At 43.0% G+C, this 24,534-nt stretch overlaps 2 protein-coding genes across 17 annotated transcripts in view, besides 5 other annotated features; one reads left to right on the top strand and one right to left on the bottom strand.

Annotated features, from left to right (window-relative positions):
* Positions 1 to 24,534, bottom strand: part of MCPH1 (microcephalin 1) — a 241,882-nt gene that overhangs the window by 65,984 nt on the left and 151,364 nt on the right. Inside the window, exon 13 of one of the 11 annotated variants that reach the window (XM_011534757.4) lies at positions 20,126 to 20,669. The exons of the other annotated variants lie outside the window; for them this stretch is intronic. Within the exon in view, the coding sequence (XP_011533059.1) occupies positions 20,586 to 20,669 (84 nt within the window). The 3' untranslated portion in view covers positions 20,126 to 20,585. Of the gene's footprint in view, positions 1 to 20,125; positions 20,670 to 24,534 lie in introns of those variants that run through there. 11 annotated transcript variants of the gene reach the window in all.
* Positions 3,633 to 3,805: a silencer, noted in NCBI's record as "fragment chr8:6436241-6436413 (GRCh37/hg19 assembly coordinates)". NCBI's record gives its function as "represses an EF-1alpha promoter that drives an FKBP-Casp9 reporter gene in an ReSE screen in K562 erythroleukemia cells {active_cell/tissue: K562}" and the evidence as "EXISTENCE:reporter gene assay evidence [ECO:0000049][PMID:32094911]".
* Positions 5,362 to 5,908: an enhancer, noted in NCBI's record as "NANOG-H3K27ac-H3K4me1 hESC enhancer chr8:6434138-6434684 (GRCh37/hg19 assembly coordinates)". NCBI's record gives its function as "activates a minimal SCP1, AML or CMV promoter by ChIP-STARR-seq in naive H9 embryonic stem cells {active_cell/tissue: H9 hESC(naive)}" and the evidence as "EXISTENCE:reporter gene assay evidence [ECO:0000049][PMID:30033119]".
* The window catches only part of ANGPT2 (angiopoietin 2), a 63,614-nt gene continuing 58,359 nt past the window's right edge, over positions 19,280 to 24,534 (top strand). For all 6 annotated transcript variants that reach the window (NM_001386335.1, NM_001118888.2, NM_001386337.1 and 3 more), the window contains exon 1: positions 19,280 to 19,878. In NM_001386335.1, coding sequence (NP_001373264.1) covers positions 19,591 to 19,878 — 288 coding nt within the window. In that variant the 5' untranslated portion in view covers positions 19,280 to 19,590. The remainder of the gene's footprint in view (positions 19,879 to 24,534) is intronic.
* Positions 19,411 to 19,937: an enhancer, noted in NCBI's record as "H3K27ac-H3K4me1 hESC enhancer chr8:6420109-6420635 (GRCh37/hg19 assembly coordinates)". NCBI's record gives its function as "activates a minimal SCP1, AML or CMV promoter by ChIP-STARR-seq in naive H9 embryonic stem cells {active_cell/tissue: H9 hESC(naive)}" and the evidence as "EXISTENCE:reporter gene assay evidence [ECO:0000049][PMID:30033119]".
* Positions 19,938 to 20,463: an enhancer, noted in NCBI's record as "H3K4me1 hESC enhancer chr8:6419583-6420108 (GRCh37/hg19 assembly coordinates)". NCBI's record gives its function as "activates a minimal SCP1, AML or CMV promoter by ChIP-STARR-seq in naive H9 embryonic stem cells {active_cell/tissue: H9 hESC(naive)}" and the evidence as "EXISTENCE:reporter gene assay evidence [ECO:0000049][PMID:30033119]".
* Positions 21,323 to 21,617: a silencer, noted in NCBI's record as "tiled region #12768; HepG2 Repressive non-DNase unmatched - State 2:TssF". NCBI's record gives its function as "represses a minimal TATA promoter and a strong SV40 promoter by Sharpr-MPRA in HepG2 cells {active_cell/tissue: HepG2}" and the evidence as "EXISTENCE:reporter gene assay evidence [ECO:0000049][PMID:27701403]".

Here is a 24,534-nt window from a genome sequence, read left to right as displayed (position 1 = left end):
ATCAATGAAGAGAACGTGTGCTGAATCAAGGACTCTAATTAATCCGATTCTGTGTGTCTGAGGTTAAATAAGCAAATACACAGATAGATGCACTTTGGAGTCAGACTTGGGTTTGAACTCTAGCTCTGCAACGTCACTAAACTTTGCTAAGCTCCAGTTTCCTCAACTGCAAAATAAGGCTACCTATGTTGAAGAGTTACTATGAGGATTGAAAGAGATAATTAAAGTGGCTGATGCCCAACCATAATAACAGTTAACATTTATTGAGCACTTTGTGTATGCAAGGCGTAATTCTAAATGCTTTACAGGCACAGTAGGTTGCAGCTGCAATGTCCATCTCTAGTGTGCTGACGTTAGATGTGAAGGCAGCTTGAGACCCCTGTTCCCACTCAGACGTCCTTTACAACACAGGCTTCCCATCCCACAGCCAAGCACTGCAGGTTACCTAATGTTGACCAGTGGCTATGGTCTGAATGTTTGCGCCTCCCTCAAATTCATGTTGAAGCCTAATCCCCAATGCAAGAGTACTGGGAGGTGGTGCCTTTAGAAAGTGAGCAGGTCATGAGAGTGAAAATCCTCACAAATGGGATTAGTGTCCTTATAAAAGGGACCCCAGAGAGCTCCCTCACCCCTTCTGCCATGTGAGGACGCAGAGAAGGCGCCATCTATGAACCAGGAAACAGGCCCTCACCAGACATGGAATCTGCCTGGATATTGGACTTCTCAGCCTCCAGAACTGTGAGAAATAAATTTCTATCGTTTATAAGACACCCAGTTTGAATGATATGTTGTTACAGCAGCCTGAACACATTAAGATAGCAGTTGAGAAAAGTTTCAATATAATTTAAACTTTCTCTAAGACTATGGAAATGAGGTACTAAAGATTTAGCCACACACAGTCTGCGTGTTTTCTTCATGTAACTTCCTAACTGTGTTTTGTAAGAATACTAGTATTGTAAAAATGTCAGAAGATATTGTTCTGTATTACATGAGATCCTGATGTTTAAATTACAGGCTAATAATTTTTAAAAAGGAATAACAGAATGATTGCTTTTATCCCTAATCTTGAGTTCTTGATCATATTCACCACATGATTCAACAGCTTCTCTTGGCTCCACAGTTACAAATAGCATAGGGACATTGGATTTGTGGATGGAAACTACATGTTAGTAGTAAATTCATCCCCATTTATGCTGGAGGTTGCAATTCTGTGTGTGTGTGAAAAATCAGACCTTGGTGATGACCTTGAACAGTAGGATATAAATAATTCCCACATGGTTAGCATTCCACTAATGGAACACTAGGCAGAAATGGGTTATGAAAATAATACACAGTTGTCCCTTGGTATTTGTGGGGTTCCAAGACCCCCACCTTGGATATCAAAATCCATGGATGCTCAAGTCTTTATATAAAATGGAGTATTTGCATATAACCTAGGCACATCTTCCCACATAGTTTAAATCATCCCTAGATTACTTATGATAGTTAATACAATGTAAATGCTATGTAAATAGTTGTTGTACTCGATTTTTTGTACTTTTTTATTGTTGTATTTTTATTTCATTTTCTTGAATATATTTGGTCCACGATTGGTTGAACCTACAGATGCAGAACCTGCGGATGTGGAGGGCTGACCATAATCATTGACTATGAATCAGTAACGTTTAATGTACAAAAATGTTAAATGCAAAGTTATTTACAGGAATAGGAAGCAGAAGACTTGTATTTAAGGGATGCACTAACTACCATCATGGCCCTCAGGGAAGTCTTTCTGCCTCCTGGGTCTTTTTCCTCCTCTATAATGTGACATTTGTCCGAGTCCTTCTCCAACTCTGAGTTTTTTTTTGTTTTGTTTTGTTTTTGTTTTTGTGGTTGAGATAGAGTCTTGCTCTGTAGCCCAGGCTGGAGTGCAGTGGCATGATCACAGCTCACTGCAACGTCTGCCTCCCGGTTTAAGCAATTCTGCCTCAGCCTCCCGAGTAGCTGGAATTACAGGAACACGCCACCATGCCCAGCTAATTTTTGTATTTTTAGTAGAGACGGGGTTTCACTATGTTGGCCAGGCTGGTCTTGAACTCCTGGCCTCGTGATCTGCCCGCCTCGGCCTCCCAAAGTGCTGGGATTACAGGCATGAACCACCATGCCTGGCCCCAACTCTGAAATTCTTTCAGTTTAACACAACAAAGGGCAACCGGCTGTATCAGGGAATTGTGAGCATCTGCGAAGGGCTGACCTACACTGCAACGGAGGAAGAAAGTGCTGATGGACATCGTGGAGGCTTCGTGAGTACAGGGGAGACCTTTCCCTTTGGTTGGCTGGGGTCTGAGGCCGTCATATGCTCAGACCATTCCCCAGCCCAAGAACCTTGGTGGACACAGAGTCATCTTCCCACCATAGCGTCTACCGATACTTCCCATTGTCCCAGCGCATGTGGATTCTAGGGAACAGGCAGCTGTTCAGACTGAGTCAATGAGAGCTGGGCTGACTACCCAGGAGTTTGAACCTGACCCTACTGACAGAAAGGGCCAGGGATGGGGCAGCCACATTTAGTTTCTGGCAGGGGCACGGCCTTGGTGGCAGCGTCCTGGCCCAGCAATGGTGGTCAAAGTAACACCTCGCCAGGCCAGTTCTGTGTGGGCAGTGTGACTGTGGCATTGGCGACATAGCCCCCTTAATATTATTCAATAAATTCCACTTCTGCATAAACGAGAAAGCCTCAGTTTCCCTTGCTGATAACTAAGAACCCCTCCTGTGACCTCTGGCGACACGTGCTTTGGGGCTGTAAAGAGCTGTTGGTGTCCTTTGGTTTTTCTAAAACAATCTTTTTATTTTCTCAGTATAATATGCAAACCACTTGGTGTGTACATTAAGCATAAGATTAAGGGGTTAATTTTATTTCTGCAATGACAACAACAACAACAAAAGCATGAGCAAAAAGTCCAAACACTACATACTAACTACAGTCACATTATCTGGGCACCAAAACAAATGCTTAAGCACTTTTCATTAGAACGCCCCAGAAAAACACTTCCCTTACTAATGCAGGATTGCACCAGAGGGCGACAGACAATCCAGCTCTGCCAACACAAGGACATATAGTTTCTGGTATCTAAAAGTGAGACCGAGCGGAGGGCTGACCACCATAATTTCCCAAGGGAATGGATCTAAACTGTCTCATTCACTAAAGCAATCTTTCTTTGATAATTAGTCAAATGGAGGAGAAGGGGACCGGGAAAGGGGGCGAACTCACGCATCAGACACCATACCTGGAACTCTGCCGATGTCACTTCACTCTCCAAATAACCTGCCAGTTACTCTCACTTAACAGATGAAGAGGGCTAGAGGCTACAGGTGGATGATGCCAAGATGGAGGTGTCAGGTGTTAGGTGAGTTTTAAGTGAATGAAAGACGTTCTCCCTTCCTCTGGACACAGCTCAGTCTGGTGCAGTTCTCAATATCGGGAAGCAGCCTCCATCCCACAGGGCCTCAGTATTCTATTCCCTTTGAAATATCCCCAGACCAGATCATGCAGCTCCACTGTTCTGGATGGCTGGCCCAATGCTAGGATTTCCAGGCCATTTATGAACGAAAAACATGAACTCTGCCCTGGGAAGTAGTAGCTCCAGGAATAACATGGGCCAGAGAAGCAACCTGTGCTCCCAACGTTGAACCTCTTCCAAAGGAGCCGAGAGCAGCTCTGTGGAGAACCACGTGCGAGTCTGAGCCATACCAGGTGCCACCTGCCTTTACATTGATCTGCCTTGTCTTCCTGAGAAGTGGCACATTTGCTCAGACCTGTAATGAGCCTGTGTTTGTCACTGAGAGCTTGGACATGTTGACACCTATCCAAAATACACATCTTCCACGCAGGGTTTTGTATTGCTGACTACTTATTCTAGTTCTTCTATTTTCTCCAAAATACTAGCATTTTGGTAGCAATGAAATATTCTGCTCTTAAATAGAGGAAAAAACAATTACATAGTGAGATTTTGGTTATGTTTAGAAAATGATCAAGTATTTTTCCCTTTTAATCACTAAATGTACTTACATTTAAAATGTACTCTGAAAAATCGGCATAGAAAACATGGATATTAGTTCTTCTGTTCTGAAAACAGGCATATTTTTAAGCCCTAAGTAAACACATTCAGGAAAGGGGTTTCCCAAAGTTTTAGGCTTCAAGCTTTGTTGTTTTCTCACTTTTCTTTTGCCAACGAAAATGCTGTTTAGAATTGATATGGAATAGTGAACAGCTGCAGGCTCTGGCTGAGTGCTTTACTAGAAATACCAGTTTGGGAAAGAATTTCTACCCATTTCCCTCTCCCATGAGCCACTACAGTGGCTGGAGCTTATTCCTCTCATAGACCATGTCCAAATGCCCATCGGGACAGTCGAGTGTCTGGGAAACAATGCCAGTGTGTTGTTTGTAGCTGTGGTGAAAGAAGAGAACACGTCTGATCTACTGAGCAGGGGAGTGAGGCTCTCCCCAAACATAGCAGAAAAACTCCTCGCTTCAAATTCAGAGATGCAGGACATCCCGCTGTCTCACAGGATCGCACACAGCAAAGAGGACCTACCCCCACAGACACTCCATCTCGGAAGGGTTTGACCTTTCTAGAGCTACTCCGGAGGCGGAGGAAGACATAAATTCTGGATTAATTCAGCTCTGGATCACTTAGCTCTGTAGGGAGATTAAGAAGAATTACTAAAGGTCTTTCTAGGCTACAAGGTCATTGAAGATTCCTTAATTTGTATCTCTTGTACAAGTAGCACGGTGTCTCACATTTGTTAAATTGTGAAAATAGGATTAGAATAATACAGTGTAGTGCTTAGCCATCTACTAAACCTAACACACTACTGCAGCTTTGTGGCATATAAAATTATTCTGCCTTTCATGAACAAAGATTTAGCTTCATGCAAGATATTCAAATGCAAGCCCTTTGGCTTACAGTAGCTGTCCAAAGGAAGTTCTAAAGTTGTCTTGAAAAGGAATGGCAGAATACGTGCATATAATCTTGAAAAATTATCTGGAAGGACAATAATTATGGAAGTTCCAGTGTGTTTACTAGACAGCCATTTGTACATTCAGAATATGTGAATGTGTTTACCCCAGGACGATCTATTCTGGATCAGGTAGTGTGCATTTGATAATTTGATTCTATGTGGAGCTGCTGACCTATACATCTAGTGGCTTCATCCAAATGCACCGGGTTCTGGAGCACACGTGGTGACGGGAAGGGAAAGGCCCCATGAAAACATCCCAGCAGCACCACAGTGTGGAGGACAGAAGCCCCACGCAGGGAGGCCCTGTCTGCAGCACTGCAGATGCTCTGAGGAAGAGGCGCTGGCCACCTGGATTAACGAGATTCCCTTTGCCCGGGGCTGAGAGCAGGTTCACAGCACCCTGGCCTCCTGTGCAGCAGGAACCCAGTGGCTGGGACTGAAAGGAGTATCTTGCCGCTTGTCCAGAGCGTAATTCCAGTGGCAGGAATTTCAGGTTCCGTGGCAAAGGGGGCCTCCTCACAGCAGGCAGCAGGGAGAAGGAATTCCGCAGAATGGGCAGGGCCCTGCGTCTCTCAGATTTCAAAGGAGGCGCCATTGCTTTTATCTGAGCAGGGGCGGCTGAGATGAATGCACAGATGCCATTTTAGAGAAGACAGTAGGCCAGGCACTGTGGCTGACGCCTGTGCCTCTCCCAGCACTTTAGGAGGCCGAGGCGGGTGGCTCACCTGCGGACGGATCACCTGAGGTCAGGAGTTCGAGACCACCCTGACCAATATGGTGAAAACCCATCTCTACTAAAAAAAAAAAAAAAAAAAAAAAAAAAAAAAAAAAAAAAAAAAAATACAAAAATTAGCAGAGCGTGGTGGCGGGCACCTGTAATCCCAGCTACTCAGAAGGCTGAGGCAGAAGAATCGCTTGACCCGGGAGGTGGAGATTGCAGTGAACTGAGATCGCACCATTGCACTCCAGCCTGGGGGACAGAGGGAGACTACATCTAAAGGGACGGGGAAGGGGAAGGGGAAGGGAAAGGGAAAAGGAAACGGGAAGGGAAAGGGAAAGGGAAGGATTCCAATAAGGCCTGGCCTCATACTTCAACGAGTTCATTTTAGCGAGGATAATGAGCCATTATCAACTAACCTCACAACAATGGTTACAGACATATGGATAAGTGCCTAAGTGCTGGAGGCCCTGAGGTCAGCCCCATCTTCCTGCAGAGAAACAGGCTCTTCATGAAAGAGGACCTTCTTTTATAGGGTGGCTGCAATTAACGAGCCTTAGTACTTCTAGGAAACACTTTTACTGCTGCAGAATGAAGCTTTGCATAGCTATCACCAGGAGCTGCCTGGACTTTTTTCACCCCCTCCTGAGGTTGAACAAGAAGGAGAAGAACCAAATGGCAACAGTGTTTGGTGGAGGCTGCAAGGTAGCGTTATATTTTAATTCCTTTCCTATTACTTTTTTTTTTTTTTTTTTTTAAGGCTGTATTAGTTTGCTAGGGTTGTTGTAACAAAGTACCACAAACTTGCTTAAACAGAAATCCACTCTCTCGCAGTTCTGGAGAGCAGAAATCTGAGGTGAAGGTGTGGGGCAGGGTTGGTTCCTTCTGGAAGCCAAAGCCACGAGGCAGGATCTGTCCCAGGCCTCTCTGCTAACTGCTGGCAGTGGCTGCTCATCTTTGGTGTTCCCTGTTTTGTAGAAGCTTCACCCTGTCCCTACCTGCGTTGTCACGAGGCGTTCCTCCTGTATCTGTCTTCACATGACCGTCCTCTTATAAAGACATCTGTCACATTAGATTAGGGGCCCACTCCACTCCAGTATGACCCTATCTTAACTGATTACAACTGCAATGGCCCTACTTCCGAAGACGGTCACGTGCTGAGGGCATTTAGGACTTCAACATGAATTTTCGGAGAACAAAATTCAACTCATAACAAGGACCTTCAAAGAAGTGACAAATTTATGAAGAGTTGCATGCTACTAATTATATCTTGTAAGTTTTACTCATTTTTAGTCACTTGCAACATTGTATAGACACCACGTAGGACCTTTTTACTGACCACCCTGGGTCTTCTTTATCATTATCTCTTCTAGAGCCATAATCCAGAGAACAGGACAACATGCCATGATCTGCAGAACCTGCACCTGTGAAACCGTGGCCAAGGGTCCCTCATAATGGAGCTGCTTTGCTGCTTAACTTTGTCTAGAAAAACCCACATTGCTAAGCTTTATGCAATTTATACAGCTGTTCTTCTTCACCTGTTTCATATACTGTTTAATATTAGTTAAGATTGTGTAATGAGGCTGGCATTGAGATTAATCAGGAAAATAGGTCTTCCTGCTGCTTCCAACCCAGGTGGCTCTCTTGAGCTCAGACCCAAACATGCAATAGGAAAACTCTAACCGGAAGTCTCATAGCCAATTTAAACTGAATGTGTGCAAGCTGCATGCATTGCCTCTCTGCTAGCTCTCCCCTTCCGAGCCCTTGAGAATCCTATCTGTGCAGCTGCCAGGCCAGAAACTGCAGAACCAGTAATTCTTGACTTCCCTCTTACTGCTTTATCTCATCATTTTATTTATCCTGTTTGTCATTTTTTGCCGTTTTTCGAATCTGTAACTTGATATCTTTCATCACTTTGGGAAAAGCTTCAGTGACTATCTCCCTGGATATTGCCTGCCCTGTTCTCTCTCCCTTCTTCTGGAATTTGGATGGACTTTGTCAGACACTCTTCCTCCATCCTGCAGGTCTTCCTTCACTTTCTCTCCTGGTCCTTATCTCGTCTCTCTGTCCTACACCTGGGATGACTCGTTTTCACTTATCTTTCAGCTTCAGGTGTGTCTAATCTTGTTAAACATGACTCTGAATTATAAATTCCAACCATCGTATTTTTCATGTCTATAAGTTTTCATTTTAAATCTGCAAGATTTTCTTCTTTAGTTTTCTGTCCCCTTTAGGTGTTTTCAAAATTTTACTTTCATCTTTAAACATCGTAAGTGTTATGGATAGAATTACATTCCTGATAGAAAGATGTAAGTCCTAAGCCACAGCAACTCAGCATGTGGGCTTATTTGGAAGTAGCGTCACTGCAGGTTTAACTAGTTGAGAGGAGGTCCTCCTGGAGTGGGGTGGGCTCTTAATCCAATGTGACTGCATCTTTATAAAAAGACGGCCGTGTAGACAGGGAGAATACCATGAGACGATGAGGCCAGCAACACCAGAAGCTAGGATGGGACAGGGAAGGACCCCCTATAGGTTTCAGAGGGAGCATGGCCCTGCTGATGCCTCAATTACAGACTTCTAGCCTCCAGAGCTGTGAGAATAAATTCCCATTGTTTTAGGCACCCGGTTTGTGGCACATTGTACCGCAGCCTTAGCAAACCAATACAGCAGGGATAGATGTTTTTGGCTGGTCTGTTTTTACTATTTCTTCTTTCTGCTGATTTTTGCTAATAGCACTATGTTTTCTTGTGTGTTTATTTTTGTCTGTGAGTTGCCCATTATTCTTGGGAAATTGTAAGAATGTTTTGAGACCCATGATGAAAGTGCATTCTCCCAGAAAGGATTTTCATTTGCTTCTTCCACAAACCTAGGGGAATAAGATGATCAGCCTGGGACCACCTTAGAACAATTCATTGTGGTTTTTTCTGGCCACCTTATGTGTACTGTAAAACCCAAAAGGGTGAGCTTGTAGTTAAATTCTCAGGGATGGGCTCCCCTCTTTTAGTTCTGTTTAACATCCAGGCATGTTTTCTTGTCTGCTCTGGAGAGTGGGGTGGGCAGGTTTACTTCTGCTTCCCTGACACTGGGGTAGAGCCTTCCTGGAAGGAGGTATCTCATCAGATGCTCCCATTTCTTTAGGTCCTGGCCTTTGTCTTCTGTCTGAACCACTCAGGCCTTGAAGTAGGCTTAAGTTGGCCAGGTTTGGCAAATGACTTGATGGCAAAGCTCTTTAATAGTTCACAGGATTCCTGCCTTCACATAAGTTTGAGCAGAATATGTGTTTATTATCTTGTCATTTTACAGATGCTTTAAAAACTATTGCCAAGTTATTTTATTTTAGCATTTTTAAGTGTAAGAGTCAGTCCCAGTACCAGACCAATCCCATTCCTGGACTCCCTGTATTCCATCCATCTAGAAGGCCTATTGATCACCCCTCTTTAACATCATGAGCCTGATGTTAATATTCTAGCACAGGCCACTATAATATCTAACCTGAATTACTGTAGCAGCTTCTGCTCTGGTCTCTCTGCCTCTACTCACACCTCCTCTAAGCCCTTCTGCACACAGCACTCCACAGTCCTTTCTCAGTCACATCAGGACACTCCCCCGCCCCAAATGCTTTATGTCCAGGGTACAACCCCAATTCCTAAGCAGACTCTTCAGCAGCTAGTTCCAGACCGCATCTCCGACTCACCCATCTCCTCCCTCTTGGCTCAATTATTGTTAATTTATTTTAACTTCCGTGGTCTCGCCTTTTATTTATTTATTTTTTAAGTGCACAGGCAATTTTCTCAGCCTGGAATATAATTTCCCTCAGTTTTGGTCTTTCTTCAGGGAGGGAGAAAGGGCAGAGTATGTTCTTCTTAAATAAGTAACAGTGTGGATCTAAATAAACAGTGAAACTATTCTTGCTGTTCACGTAGCCCTTACGTGGTTTGGGAGGCTTCCCGTGTGGGGGCTCCCTCCTGCACTACCCAGGGCCTTAGGCAGCAGTGCTTGTGCATCCAGATGGGACATCTGTTCACCTCGTTAGACTGTAAGCTTGGGGTGAACAGGACTGGGTCTCTAAATTGGCTCCTTATGGAGACAGACAGTACAGACCTCTTTTTCTGCTGTTGTAATAGTAGTAACCTTATCACCTGAGGATACAGAGACAGCTCCTAGGTCTATGTATGCTAAATGAATGCCTAAAAATATTTTTTCACTGTGTGTGTGCACGTCGGTCTTTAACATCTGTATATGGTGTGATGTGCTTTTGCATTAAAATTAAAATGAAAGCATTGTAGCTTGTATTTTAGTTGCAATTGATGTAGGTCCTAAATTACCTATCATTTCCATTAACAATTGTAATAACAATCATGGATAGATTTGCCTGTCGCTTGATAGGAGATCAGCAGAGGGAGCTAGTGAGTATTACAAGTGGATTTGATACTTGCATTCTTAAATAGGTACCATTTTTTAATTTTTATTGTAGTCAAGCAAGATTTTTGATCTATAAATGAAAAAGGTGATTTAAATGCGCATCAGGATTTGGGAGGAGAGCGCATATTATTTTTTCCGTAAATATTTTACTAGAATAGTTTCAGGCTTTCAAAAAACGTTACTCATTTTTTTTTTTTCTTGAGGGAAACCGATGTCAAGAACTTGGTACGTTTAATACTGCATCCTCTCTTCAGTCTTTGTACAATTTACTTTTCTCTTTTGTATCAGTCGGTCTTTGACTTTTAGACCCCTTACTTGAAATGGAACATTTTGGGGAAGTATGCTTTATTATTAATGGGGTACCAAAGAAAATGCTTGAAATAGCGTTTTTAAGAGAAAAAGTGGAGGGATACATTCTGGATTATTAGGAAAGACTTGAACCATCATCAGACAACTAAGATTCATGAGGGGACAAGAGTGACAAGGAATATTTTTATATACTTCAAGCAAACATCACTTCCTTTTATGTGTAACTATTTATTATAATTCTTCAAAAACTACTTTTTGTACTTGTAACTCTATAATCAAGCCTAATTTCCCACAGGAAGATTTTTTCATATTAAGTCCGCCAGATGGATGGGGATACCAAAAGGAGGTCATGGACTTTTTTTTACTTCTTTGACATAAGCAATTTTATTTATCTTAACCTATAACCAAGAGAGATAATATATCTTAATGTAAATAGCACATATGACATTTTTATCTCTTTTTAAAAAGGTTTCTCAATAATTAAGATAAAAATTTTATAAATTTAGATTAAACAAGAATTAATCTAGCTGGCATTAAGCCACTTTCAAATGAAAATTCACTCTAAGAAATTTAGATCTTTATTAGGATGGTTATGACAAAGAGACTGGACATATTTTTTTAGAAGCAACGGAGTTTGAGATCTCGACAACATTTATGAAATGGATTTGGGAACATTTAATGTGACTTATAACAAATAAGCCCACCTCAAAGCCACTAATGAAATATGGTGTTTGTCAAAGGAAATACTTTATTTGACTTAACACAGGTCATGTTAGTAAACACTGACATCAATCCATTGAAAAAAATGTTTAGCATTTCATTCTACAGGGAGAAAACAGGACACAGAATTACTGGCAAAAATATTATCAGGCAAATGTACTCATCTATTGTTTTACAATTGTATCCACTCCCTTTTAATGTTGTGACTTCTATCTTGACCTTCTGGCATTTTTTTGATGGGAAGATAAAATATTCCATAATAATACTAGAGAATGAAAATATTTAAAAATCAAACAGCATAACAGTTATATAAACTATTTCTAAAAACTCAAGGAATTTTTTTTTCTTAAAAAATAGTTACTTGGATATTTCCCAAGCTACCAGTAAATAAAAAGCTCTTCCCTTCAAAGTCCTTAAGGTTCCATATGATGTACAGTGCAGCTTTAAAATATGAAATTCTTTAGCAGATGTTAGGCTGGTTTGCGGTAGTACAAACTGTGAAAGATTCGGGAATCTCTTAAGTTTGTTAAAAAAAAAAAAAAAAAAAAAAACAACAATCCATCTGCTCCAAATGTCATTCACACACGATTTCACAATGAACACAGATAAGTTAGAATGAATGAGTACTTGGAACTTTTTTAAGCCACCTAAATAAGAATGCCAAGCACCTGAGAAGTCTCATGAACAATGAAGATTTTTCTCCTATTAACTGTGATCCTTCCCACTAACAGGGTTTCTGTGGTTCTGTGTCAAACAGAAGTTACACAGCTGCAAGGAGAAAGATAATTGTCCCAGATAAGGCCTTGGCTGTGGAGGCCCGCGTCCTTTAACTCCTGCGCTTACTCTATCTACCCGCAAATGAAAACACAACTATAATGCGGGGGAAATGGCTGTTTCCCAGGAAAGGAAATGGCCTGAAAACACATATGGCAAAGAGCTTTCTGTCCGTTTTGGCAGTCAGATACTTATTTTTAACAAAATATACATTTGCTCACCTTGTACAAAGGGGAATTCTACGGAGTCAATGCCCAATTCTAAGGGGATGACACTTAACTTGTACTCTAAATATATCGGGCCAGCTATTTTATGTCAAATGCTATATTTATATTTAATTGCAACTAGAACAGGAAATTGTGCTCAACTTCATCTCAGAACTGTTTCTATTCTAAAACATACATCATATTCTTCCAGCGATCCACATTGGATGAAATTAAACCAGACAAAGCAGAAAAGTTATTTAAGCCCAAACAATGAAAGGGTATGTAGAATGCACATAGTAAGATTAACTGATCCATTTAGACAATATGTTGGATTTCCAAGGATTCTTTCCTAAGCTAGCAAGTAACAATTTGAATTCAGCTCTGCATTAATGATCTGGTTTCCGCACTTGTAATAGGATGGTCCCGGCTCAGATGCCCGAGGTCCACATGAGATGTCTGGTGAGCTTTCATACAAGACCCAGTGGCTCCAGCTCAAGAGAACTGAAGGCCGCTAAGAGTCTCTGGCAGTGAAATGGCTTCTGTCACTCGGGATGTGTGTTTGTGCTGCACAGAGGTGACGGCCAGTACTAAATGGTGATTGCTGATCATCTCTAAAGCAGGCTGTATTTGCCATGTTAAAGAGGGGCAAAATTATTGCTTTCAATTCTCCTTAAATTCATAACCATTAACATAAAAGACAGACACACACAGGCACTTGGCTAAGGGAATTCTTGTCTCTCTCTTCACGGAGCCTTGATTTCCTTGTCTGTTATAGGGACCAAAGCTACCTTACATGTTTATACGTGTGTGTTTATATTTTTCTTCCTTTTCTTCTGTCTTTACGGTAACTTGAAGGGGCTTTCCTTTGGTACTTTTTTGAAATCCCATGGCTGGAACTGTCCTTCCTCGCATTCCAAAGTCAGGATTTAACACTAGTGTAACATGATGAGCAGCACTGGGGAATGGAAATGGTTGATGCAGCAACACTTTTGCAAAATGGCTCTAGACTGCATTTGTGGGTCTTCAAATCTGGTTCAACATATATCAAAATGGAGTCGAAACAGATCTTCCAGGAGGCATATAAAGGAATCACTATATAGGGAGCCTGCCTTCAGAAAGAAGATTTTTTTCTTTTGGCAGAGGGGCAGGTGTTGTGCCAGTTGTGGCTATTTCTCTAGTTCTTATTAATTATTGCATACGATTTGTGGGGGGAAGTAATAAAAATAACTTTAACAACAGTTTTATGTGCAGCTAACCTTCTAATGGTTTTCCCTGTATACTGAACATTAAATTGTATATATAAACATGTTGACTGATTTGGATGGCCAAGATGTCTCAAAAGTCCCTCCCAGCTTAGTGTGCCAGGCGCCCAAGAGTCCCGAGTGTGCCCCTCTGTCTGCAAATGGCTCAAATCAAAACATAGTGTCCCAGCTTCATTTTTTTAGACTGTTTCAGCCGTGGAAGTTCCTCATACATCAACAAGGCACTTTCCAAAAATTAAGGCCAGGCTGCCCAAATAAGTCTGCAGCAGTCACCGCCTCCAAGGCCTGCAGGCAGGGGCAGTGGGAGGAAAGCAGACTGTAGCCGGGCAGGCCGTGCTGAGGACGGCAGGCGGGAGACAGTCTCAGGAGGGGCTGCCCAGGCCTGATGGAAAACGATGTCAGCACAAAATGCCGTATAAATGCAGGGCAGCAATGTGCCTTTAAGTGTGTCTGAGCCCTTTCCATGTGTTTTTCAGCTCGGCAGGGCTTTTTCAAATTGCACGCTGGCAATGCATTGCTGGGATGGTACAGGTTGGAAAAGCAAAACGACCCCGGGCCTGGGTCAGGCTGGTGGCCCCATTTCCATCCCTTGATCTGGATAAATGCTGAGCATTAAACTGGACAACAGCAGGGGTCACGGGGCCCACAAGCAAATTCTGTTTGGCAACCCATAGCTGGGGGGCTGCTCCACTTTGTGCTGACTTAGCATCCTTTTTTGGTTTCTGGTTGCTTATGAGAGCTGCACGGATTGCTCTGGGGGAACCTGGGATGGTCTGACTGTCATAAGTCCTTTTCCACATTCAGCTAGCGATGGGTCCACATTCCACATTCAGCTAGCGATGGGTCCACATTCCACATTCAGCTAGCGATGGGTCCACGCGCCACCCACTTCCACGGTCCTCAGGAGGCCCTTTGGCTTTTCTTGTTTGCGCCTTAGGGCCTCCAACTGGGCAAACTGAGCCAAAAGGGCTGGCCACGAGATTCTTTGTAACACTGGCCTCTTTCTGGGAGTAGGTAGCTATGGTTTTTCTGGTGTCGTCAACCAGGGTAATAAGAACTTGAGACAGTTCCACAGAGAACACATGGGAACCTCTGAAATGTCAGTTGCCGACACAGAATATGGGGGAGAAAACAAACAGTATTAAGGAAATAAATTGCACTATGCACAGCTGTTCAGCAGAACTATTACAGACAAAAATTGGGTGGGTAGGCAGGTGGATTTTGGGAACCTGTAATAATGTTTCTCATCTGACAGTCTCACTTGCCTCTTGTGGTCCCGTCAGTACAGCAGGGAGGAACACCCAAGATTTTCTCTGGAGTTCTGAGATCCCCCTAGTCAAGCCTCATTTAGAGTGAAGGGGTCCCAGATGGGTGGCCTCAGACCCCCAGGCTGCATGGTGGTGTTACTGGACACCCACAACTCCAGGCTTTGCACCTAATGCCTTCAAGGGCCTCCCATTGGCTCCCCGAGGCTTCCTGGTCAGTGGCCTGGCAGACCATGTCTCCACTTCCCTAGGGGCCACAGCTGAGCGCCCATCCATGCACACTTGCATCCCAGGCCACTTCCTGGCCCCTCTCCCCACCTGGCATCCTTAATTCACTTCAGTGTGGCACTTTCTCTAAGCACCTATTCTATCCCGTTAGTAAGCCCCTGTAAGCAGCCACACAGAAGGCTGAGCCGAGGCACCAGTCCTCCCCTGTTCACACGGTGGTCACTGCACCGTGTGCACTATCCATGGCCTTGCCGATCAAACATGGTCACCGCACCGTGTGCACTATCCATGACCTTGCGGATCACACATGGTCATCGCACCGTGTACACTATCCATGACCTTGCGGATCACACACGGTCACCGCACTGCATGCTCTATCATGGCCTTACCGATCACACACGGTCACCGCACCACGTGCACTATCCATGGCCTTGCTGATCATACATGGACACCACGCCACGGGCACTATCCATGGCCTTGCCGATCACACACGGTCACCGCACCGCGTGCACTATCCATGGCCTTGCCGATCACACACGGTCACCACACCGCGTGCACTATCCATGGCCTTGCCGATCACACATGGTCACCGCACCGCGTGCACTATCTATGGCCTTGCCGATCACACACCGTCACCGCACCGCGTGTACTATCCATGGCCTTGCCGATCACACACGGTCACCGCACCGCGTGCACTATCCATGGCCTTGCCGATCACACATGGTCACCGCACCGCGTGTACTATCCATGGCCTTGCTGATCACACATGGTCACCGCACCGTGTGCACTCACTATCCATGGCCTTGCGGATCACACACGGTCACCACACCATAAGCACTGTCGATGGTCATGCCAATCACACATGGTCACCGCAACACGTGCACTATCCATGGCCTTGCCGATCACACACGGTCACCGCACCACGTTCACTATCCATGGCCTTGCCAATCACACAGGGTCACCGCACCACATGCACTATCCATGGCCTTGCCGATCACACATGGATACCACACCACGGGCACTATCCACGGCCTTGCTGATCACACATGGTCACCGTGCTGTGTGCCCTGTTAATGGCCATGCCGACCACAGGTGGTCACTGTACTGTGTGCACTCTCCATGGCCTTGCTGACCACACACGGTCGCTGCACGGCGTACAGTGTCAATAGCCTTGCTCGCCACACACGGTTATTGCACTGTGTGGACTGTGGATGGCCTTGCTGACCACACACGGTGGTTGCTGCACTGTGTGTACTGCTGACAGCCTTGCCAACCACACACGGTCACCACACCGCGTGCACTGTGGACGGCCTTGCCCAGCACCTCCTACCCCCACAGACCACCTAGGCTCTCAGAGGCCAGCAAGCTACAGTCCAGGCCCGGTTTCTAACAGCCTATGAGCTAAGAATGGTTTTTAAACTTTTAAATGATTGCAGAAAATAGAATCTTTCATGATGTGAAAATTACAAGAAATTCAAATTTCAGTATCACGAATAAAGCTTTATTGGAGCCCAGCACGCTCACTCAGTTAATGCTGTCCCACAGCTGCTTTGCACCGCATTACCTTTGAGTGGTGGCGATGGTGGCCGTATAGCCTGCAGAGCCGAAAATAATTACCATCTGACACTGGACAGAGTTTGCCAACTCCGGCTCTACTAGAGCTTCCCCTGACTCTCTGGTTCCGATAATTTCCATTTAGGAATCTACAAAGAGCTGTTCCTTCCATGTTCGGAACTTGAGGGAATTTGAAAAGGATGGAGTCCATGCCAGCTGCACATGGCATATTGTGCACCCGGAAGCATCACTGTCTTTCTTTGTGCTCCGACTGCTCTCTCTTACCACATCCAATTTGTTTATGGGTCTCTCCCTCTCCATACACTATTAGCTTCTTTAGGTCAGACACCCAGTTGCCTTAATCTCTATCCCCAGTGCATAGCATGGTGTCTGACACAAGGCTGGTAGACAAAAAGTACTGTGGTGTGCCCTCTTTCTATTTGTTCCTTTTAAACTACTCTATTTGCCTGGAAGACAACTGAATGACTTTTAAAACCATATATGCAGGCCAGGTACAGTGGCTCACACCTGTGATCCCAGCACTTTGGGAGGCCAAGCAAGAGGATCATTGGATGCCAGGAGTTCAAGACCAGCCTGGGCAACAAGAGTGAGACCCCGTCTCTACAAAAAATAATCTTGAAAAAAGGTAAAACCACATATGTGATATTAATACCTTACAATATGCTTTTTCAAACAGGAAATAAAAAAATTGTACCCTATGCCACTGCCACTGCTTTGCATTCAGAGAATAGCAGAGTTATACTATTTGATGGTGGAAGAACTGATCCCCATTTAATGGAGCATGCCTGTAAAGAAAAGGAACAAATATTTCTAAACATACAATTATATCTTAATCCTAAAAACCCTACAGAGAAAAAATGATCTCCATCTTATGACTAGGGAGACTGAGGCTCCAAGAATGGAAGCATTTGCTGGAGGTCACACAGAAGCAGGGTTCTAACACAGGTCTCATCTTTAAGACCTATATGCTTTCTTCGACGGTGCACTGTCCGGATGGGTATAGCATCTTTAATTGGTTCCCTTAGTGGAAACCATGTCCAGAACCTTGGTGGAATCATACTACCTCTTCTACTAATGAGATCCTTCCAGAGCATGTCTTCCAGCTTTTCTGTGTGACAGAACCCTTTGGTTGTCTGGTGAAGCCTATAAACACCTTCTCAAAAGAAGACACATGCTACTTTATTCCAATGTTCAGTAGCAAGATCTAGGGCTGGGTTTAATAAAAATGTAGTTCTGAGTATTGTGGCAGCAAATAAAAAGAGCTGATTTCTGAGGATGAGAAAGTCACAGATATTCACACTGTTGTTCGTTAACTATTCATTGATAAGGGAAAGGCTGTCTTTCGGTTAGAGCTTAGTAAAAAATAAAGATCTTTTATGGGTAGATGTGGTCTGTTAAGTCAGTGTACCAGCTATTCAGCGCTCACTGGGAATAATAAACCTTGTACCTTGAGAGATAAACCGCAGCAAAGGCAGGGGGCTTTTTCCCTATGTACACTTGGGCTGCTGAGTTAACATATTATTAATCTCTGAAGTATTAAGTTTTAGTTGTTAAAGGAAGTGACTTGCAGAACTTACAGAGCCATAGGATTGAAGGTGAAAAATCTTGTGAGTGCACCCCTTGAATTGCACAGATGAGGACATTAGAGCTTAATTAAAACAGGGAAGTGACTTGCCCGAGTCTAATACCAAGGGGGACTAATGTAATTGATAATGTGTTACAAAATGCTGAGATGTCAACAAATTCTGACACAATAAAGAAGTTTGTGGGCCAGGCATGGTGACTCACACCTGTAATCTCAGCACTTTGGGAGGCCAAAGGCGAGTCGATCACAAGGTCATGAGTTTGAGACCAGCCTAACATGGTGAAACCCTGTCTCTACTAAAAATACAAAAATTAGCCGGGTGTGGTGGCGTTTGCCTGTAATCCCAGCTGCTCAGGAGCCTGAGGCAAGAGAATCACTTGAACCCGGAAGGCGGAGGTTGCAGTGAGCCAACATTGCCCCACTGCACTCTAGCCTGGTCGACAGAGCGAGACTCCGTCTCAAAAAAAAAAAAAAAAAAAAAAAGTTTGTATTCCTCTTTCTACACAGGCACTTAAATTCTAATTTCTCTATTGTAATGTAATGAACTTAATCAGTACAGTGTATTTTTAGAGTGAATATCCAAGTGGAGTTTTTTTAAAGAATAAAGGTCAGAGCTCAGAAACTGATGTTTCTAACGTGACTTAATAACAGATCTTTCTATCCAACTGTTCGGAAATGAAAATCTTTTGTAACTTGGCTAGTGGTTCAAGAATCAACTAAAATCAATGAATCTATTTTTCCCTCTGAAAAGGCACACGTTTACAGGAGCCAAACTTCTTCCTCTTTATTTGTAATAACAAAAATAAACCGAAGTCCTGACCTATTTGTAATATTTTTATTCCTAAAGGAAAAAACAGGAACTTTCATTGTACTTCAACATTAAAGTTATTACCTCAGATATTTTGCCAGCTTAGCACGGCAAAAATCAGTTTCAGACAAAAGAGATCAACTGCTCTCTCTAGGAAATACTTAATTGGGGTGGTGCCTAGGAAATGCCCAGGGGTCCTGTAACAGATCGGTTTTTCCCAGAGGGTTTCTGCAGCATGGGTCCTGGTTGGAGGGCAGGCATTCTGCTCTGATTTTTCCTGTTGCCTGGCTAGTGACCCCCTACAGGAAGATAACGGCTAAGCCAGGAGGGCGGAGCAGCCCACTACACATGTCTGGCTGCTCTTATCAACTTATCATATAAGGAAAGGAAAGTGATTGATTCGGATACTGACACTGTAGGATCTGGGGAGAGAGGAACAAAGGACCGTGAAAGCTGCTCTGTAAAAGCTGACACAGCCCTCCCAAGTGAGCAGGACTGTTCTTCCCACTGCAATCTGACAGTTTACTGCATGCCTGGAGAGAACACAGCAGTAAAAACCAGGTTTGCTACTGGAAAAAGAGGAAAGAGAAGACTTTCATTGACGGACCCAGCCATGGCAGCGTAGCAGCCCTGCGTTTTAGACGGCAGCAGCTCGGGACTCTGGACGTGTGTTTGCCCTCAAGTTTGCTAAGCTGCTGGTTTATTACTGAAGAAAGAATGTGGCAGATTGTTTTCTTTACTCTGAGCTGTGATCTTGTCTTGGCCGCAGCCTATAACAACTTTCGGAAGAGCATGGACAGCATAGGAAAGAAGCAATATCAGGTCCAGCATGGGTCCTGCAGCTACACTTTCCTCCTGCCAGAGATGGACAACTGCCGCTCTTCCTCCAGCCCCTACGTGTCCAATGCTGTGCAGAGGGACGCGCCGCTCGAATACGATGACTCGGTGCAGAGGCTGCAAGTGCTGGAGAACATCATGGAAAACAACACTCAGTGGCTAATGAAGGTAGGAAAAAAATCCATCTGTCTTTGTGAACATGCTATTAAGATCAGCTTGGCAGCAGCTCAGGTTTTAACAACCAAAAAAAAAAAAAAAAAAAGAAGGAGGATGAAGAGGATTAGAGCTGGAGAGCGGGTTGCTGGTACCCTCAAATGAAAGATAATTTCTTTTATTCTATCCCAGGGTGTGTGGGTAGTCCCCGGGGTGAAAATAATTATTTGGAAAGAATGCCAGAGTCAATACAGAAAATCTCTAAAGTTAGAAATCTTTATTAACAAGGTAGAGGAAATATACTTCCCTGCACAACTTGTGTGCCGTTCTGTTTGTTTACATCGTTTAAGCTCAGTAACACCCATCACCAGGGAGGCTCTCAGCTGGTTGCAGGCAAGTGAGGGAAGGCTGTGAGCCGCAGCAGCCCGTGAGCCAGAGAGACCGTGACAACCATGCTGATGACCGAGGCATAACGGATGGAGTAAAGTGCTTTACCAATTTCCTGAATTTATTTACTAAAATAGGTTGTGACTCTTGGTAAACGAGAGGAAATTAAATAAAGCAGACCTTATGTTTCTCAGAATCTCAGGGCCCTACCACTAAGGGCTTGCCGTCTGTAAACAGGGGCACAGTTCCCAAGCGTCCCAGAGGTATTCAGCACTGCAGCCCCCGTCAGTTCCAGCAACCGGTGCGGAATGCGTCCCCACGTGGGACGGTTATGTTCAAGTCATGCCACGACAGGACGGTCTGTCTGACAGTTTGTTCTTGGGGTGATTCCACTGTTTCACAGATGATCCCACTGTTTCCTAGAGTTTTTATGGAGACGTAACCAAAATAGGATATTGAAAGCTCTGTTTTTCTTTCATAAATAATTTTTTTTCACATGTAAACATGGGAGCTATTTATACAAAATCCAAAACGAACCTGGAATTTTCTTTATATGGACTATATATATTCTAAAGGAAGTTTAAACAAAATGCATAAATTAATTGTTAAGTAGCATGATGATGCCATTACATCACAATGCTTACATGGCAGGGAATGTGATTATCTAAAGCTATGTAAAGTCTTTTAAAAGTTGGTGAGCCTCATTTGACGCATGACCCTAGAAAAAGCACAATTATTTTCTCACTCTTTCATTTCACCATAAACCTTTTGTTAGGACACCTTATCTGAATCTCAGAACGGATCTTGGAGCCTAATCGGTGCTCCTCATTACCTCCCCTACCTTCAGAGAGGAAACGACTAAGTTATTATTTGAGTCATGAGCTTAAATGAATGAATGTGAATGAATGTTCCCAGCACCACTGGTTACTGTGTCAAGAGGAGTCATTTAAAACAACAAAAACTTACCAAAATGACCTATCAAATGTAGATTTCATGTGACATAAAACTCACTAGCAATGTCTTTTTAAGCTCCTGGCTAAGCGCTCCAGTAAGTTTCCCTCCTTTCCCAGGTCACTGTGGTTTGCTTTTAAACATCTTCTAAAATTCATAGCTGTGTGAATAATTACGCTAAGCTTAAAAAGTATGCAGCAACACAGGTTGAAATATGTGGAAGGCAAACTATATCCTAAATATCTGCTTAACTTGAACTTCCTATTTCTTTGTAAACCGTCAAGCTGATGGTTAATGGCTTTCCCACATCCACCGTGGTTACAGAGTCACAGCGAGGCATGAAAGATGCACTGCAGTAAATATTCTAATCTGCCCGACAGGCAGGTCATCTCCTCGAAGAAACAGCCAGGAAACATAAAAGAATGCTAGGCCAAATGCAAGGCTGCTACATTGTATTTGCTTAATTAACTTACATTAGGTATACCTGAAACTCCATAAGCAAAGCTCATATTTCTTTCTTAGGTAAACTACCCCTTCTCTTGGGTCTTTGAGATAACATTTAAAGACAGAAAAAGACAACGAGTTCTATGTTAGGCGACCAAAATTTCTTCCTTTCCAGGTTCACTTAGTCAATATTTGAACAGCAGTAGCACAATGGTATTTCAAAAGTCCGTCTTCAGCTGTCTAGCTAAATACCGTTTCCCCAAGAATGACTTAATGTTTATCTTTTCACGGGCTCCACACCTGTTCTCCCAGCCTATCTCAGCAACGTGCACCTGAGAAAGGCAATTTGCACTCTCGCTCGGTTTACGGCTTCTGGCTTGGGAATGAAAACAAAAAAGCAAAGATGAAACCCACTTAAAGTGATTAAATGTAACCTCACTGTTTGTTTTTCTCCTGTGTTTTGTCACCTGTGATAATAAACACTGATTTTCTCATGAGGAAGAAAATAATATAAAATGGAATGAGAGATAAGCCACACAGTTAAAGGGTTATCATTACAACCTAACACCCACTGATTTAATTAGCACAGAAAGCAGCAGCACAATTCTGGGTTTTTCATGGTTTTACATATTTTCTTTTGAGCTATTTTTTGAAAAAAATGTTTCCATATCTCCTTTCTCTCCTGGATCAGCACTAAAAATGAAAGATTCAAAAACAACCCACTACAAAATCCGTACACTTTTAGGAAATTAAAACATGTGTCAGGAAGGAAACTAAGACCAAGTTTCTGGTTCATTTTAGGGCAAATAAATAGTAGTTCAACCTCTGAGTGGTCAGCATAGCCTAGGGAGCTTAGACTAAGAAAGCAGGTTTCACATCATCAAAAGGTCCCACGCTGCCCCTTTAATCTGTCCGGCAAAGGAAGTGTCAGGCTTCTGAATGAACTCAGAGGAATATGAATGGAACAATACAGGACAGCTTACTCACTGTGTAGTAGTTAAACAAGGATCAGATAAACTCATGATCGCTAGCACACAAAACACACTGCAGTGGACCAAACACTACTCATGCTACGTCTCTCTTGCTAATCCTGCAACTAGTGTGAACCTCTGCCCTGGTGATATTAAACACACTTTATAAAAACTCACAAATAATTTAGCAAAATGGATTGTATTTTGCTAGGAGACCACAGGAATTTTTTTTTCTGATAAGAGGAAATATGGAAAGGAAAGAACTATTTCACACTGATGAGTGCCTCATACCTATAAACAACTGCAGTCTATGAACACGTTAAAACAGAATGATTTGAAAAATAAAGTTGATGCCTACTACGGAGGCAAACATTTCCTCTGCCATCGTTTTTTGTTTGTTTGTTTTTTAAACAACACAAGAACAGGCTGGAAAGTGTAAATGTGAATTGCAATCCTTTTCTTTCTTTAAAAGTAATAATAGTGTATCTTTTTAATAATATATGAGAGCTACTACTCACGAATGAATGCATAGGAAACCATGCAGTTATGCTCTTCAAACATAGCTGCCGTCACTGGGAGAAATGGATGGTGAGGGGCTCCCAGGGGAACCCAGCCCGCTAGCCCCACCCTGCCCTTGCTAGGGACTCTGTGTGTGTGTGTGTGTGTGTGTGTGTGTGTTGTCGTGTGTGGCTACAAAACACTCAATAGCTGTATATTAAAACAACAACAATAAAACCCAGGGCTTGGTTCATTAGAGGAAAGAAAAAAATCCCATCCCATTCACAGCCACTGGTCTCCCGTGGTCCTCCTGCGGAGGACAAGAACCATTACTGTATCCGCTGGCTACATCCTGAGTGGTGAAATATGATTGTGCTCAGTGTTAGTATTACTATATAGTAAGGAATGCAGTAAGGAATGTAGAAGAGACAGTTTCACTATGGTAGGGGAACTGCAACATATTTAATTTTGGAAAATACAAATATAGTTTACTGTATCTCTTATGCGATATGTATATGTATAGTATGATATGTGCCTATACAGTATATAAAATATAATACATGTTTACTCTATATGGATTATATATTATACATATATCATATGTTTTCTATGGTCAAGTAGTCTTTGTTTACTAAATGGGGTTGTCTGACATACTGGATTAACTATTTAGATATCACACTATGGGGAGATGATTGTTTGCTTGCAGAGTTTAGAACTAGGAAATGGATTTCCATAACCTTACCTTCTATTGAGACACTAGATAATCCATATAGTCTAAATACTGAACTCTGAAAATCTTCTGATTTTAATCAATGTGGCTCTTTACAGTTGTCAAACAGGTTGTAATCCACAAGTTTATCTGTAAGCCAGTTACCGTAGATGAAACTTGAGAAGGATAATGGTCTTACCATTGGTGATCAGATGCTCAGGATGGTCTGGGGTGCTTATTTTAATCCATAAAATAATTGAAATTTTGTACATTTAAAATTGAAAAACAAGAGTTCAAATCAACTCTACCGCCATGGGAGTAATTTAAAAAATAAAACAAAAATGTTATGAAAGTAAGATATGGGCAAGGTAAAAAAATATGTCAGGCTATTAAAATGGTGGAAATAGGAAGTAGATTCTCTTTCCCCAGTCTTCCATCCCTTTCTTGGAGATTAGCACTCAGAGATTTTTTTACCAGCCCTTTATTTAAAATGCCAAATTTAATATCAAATGTACAGCGTTCCTTCTTTTTAAAACACGTACAGTGGCATTATAGCATAATCAGGATCTTTCCTGGCCCAAAAATGACATGACGAGAGGTTGGAAGGAAGACTGTACTTAGGAACAAAGAGCAAAATTTGAAAGACTGAGGTAACTAAAGGTGCGTGTGGGGGCAGGGGCAGGAGAGACAGAGACACCACCTGTGAGGGAG

The sequence above is a fragment of the Homo sapiens genome, chromosome 8 (assembly GCF_000001405.40).
Source record: "Homo sapiens chromosome 8, GRCh38.p14 Primary Assembly".
In the NCBI taxonomy this organism is placed as follows: domain Eukaryota; kingdom Metazoa; phylum Chordata; class Mammalia; order Primates; family Hominidae; genus Homo; species Homo sapiens.
This window is presented reverse-complemented; position numbering and strand designations above follow the sequence as displayed.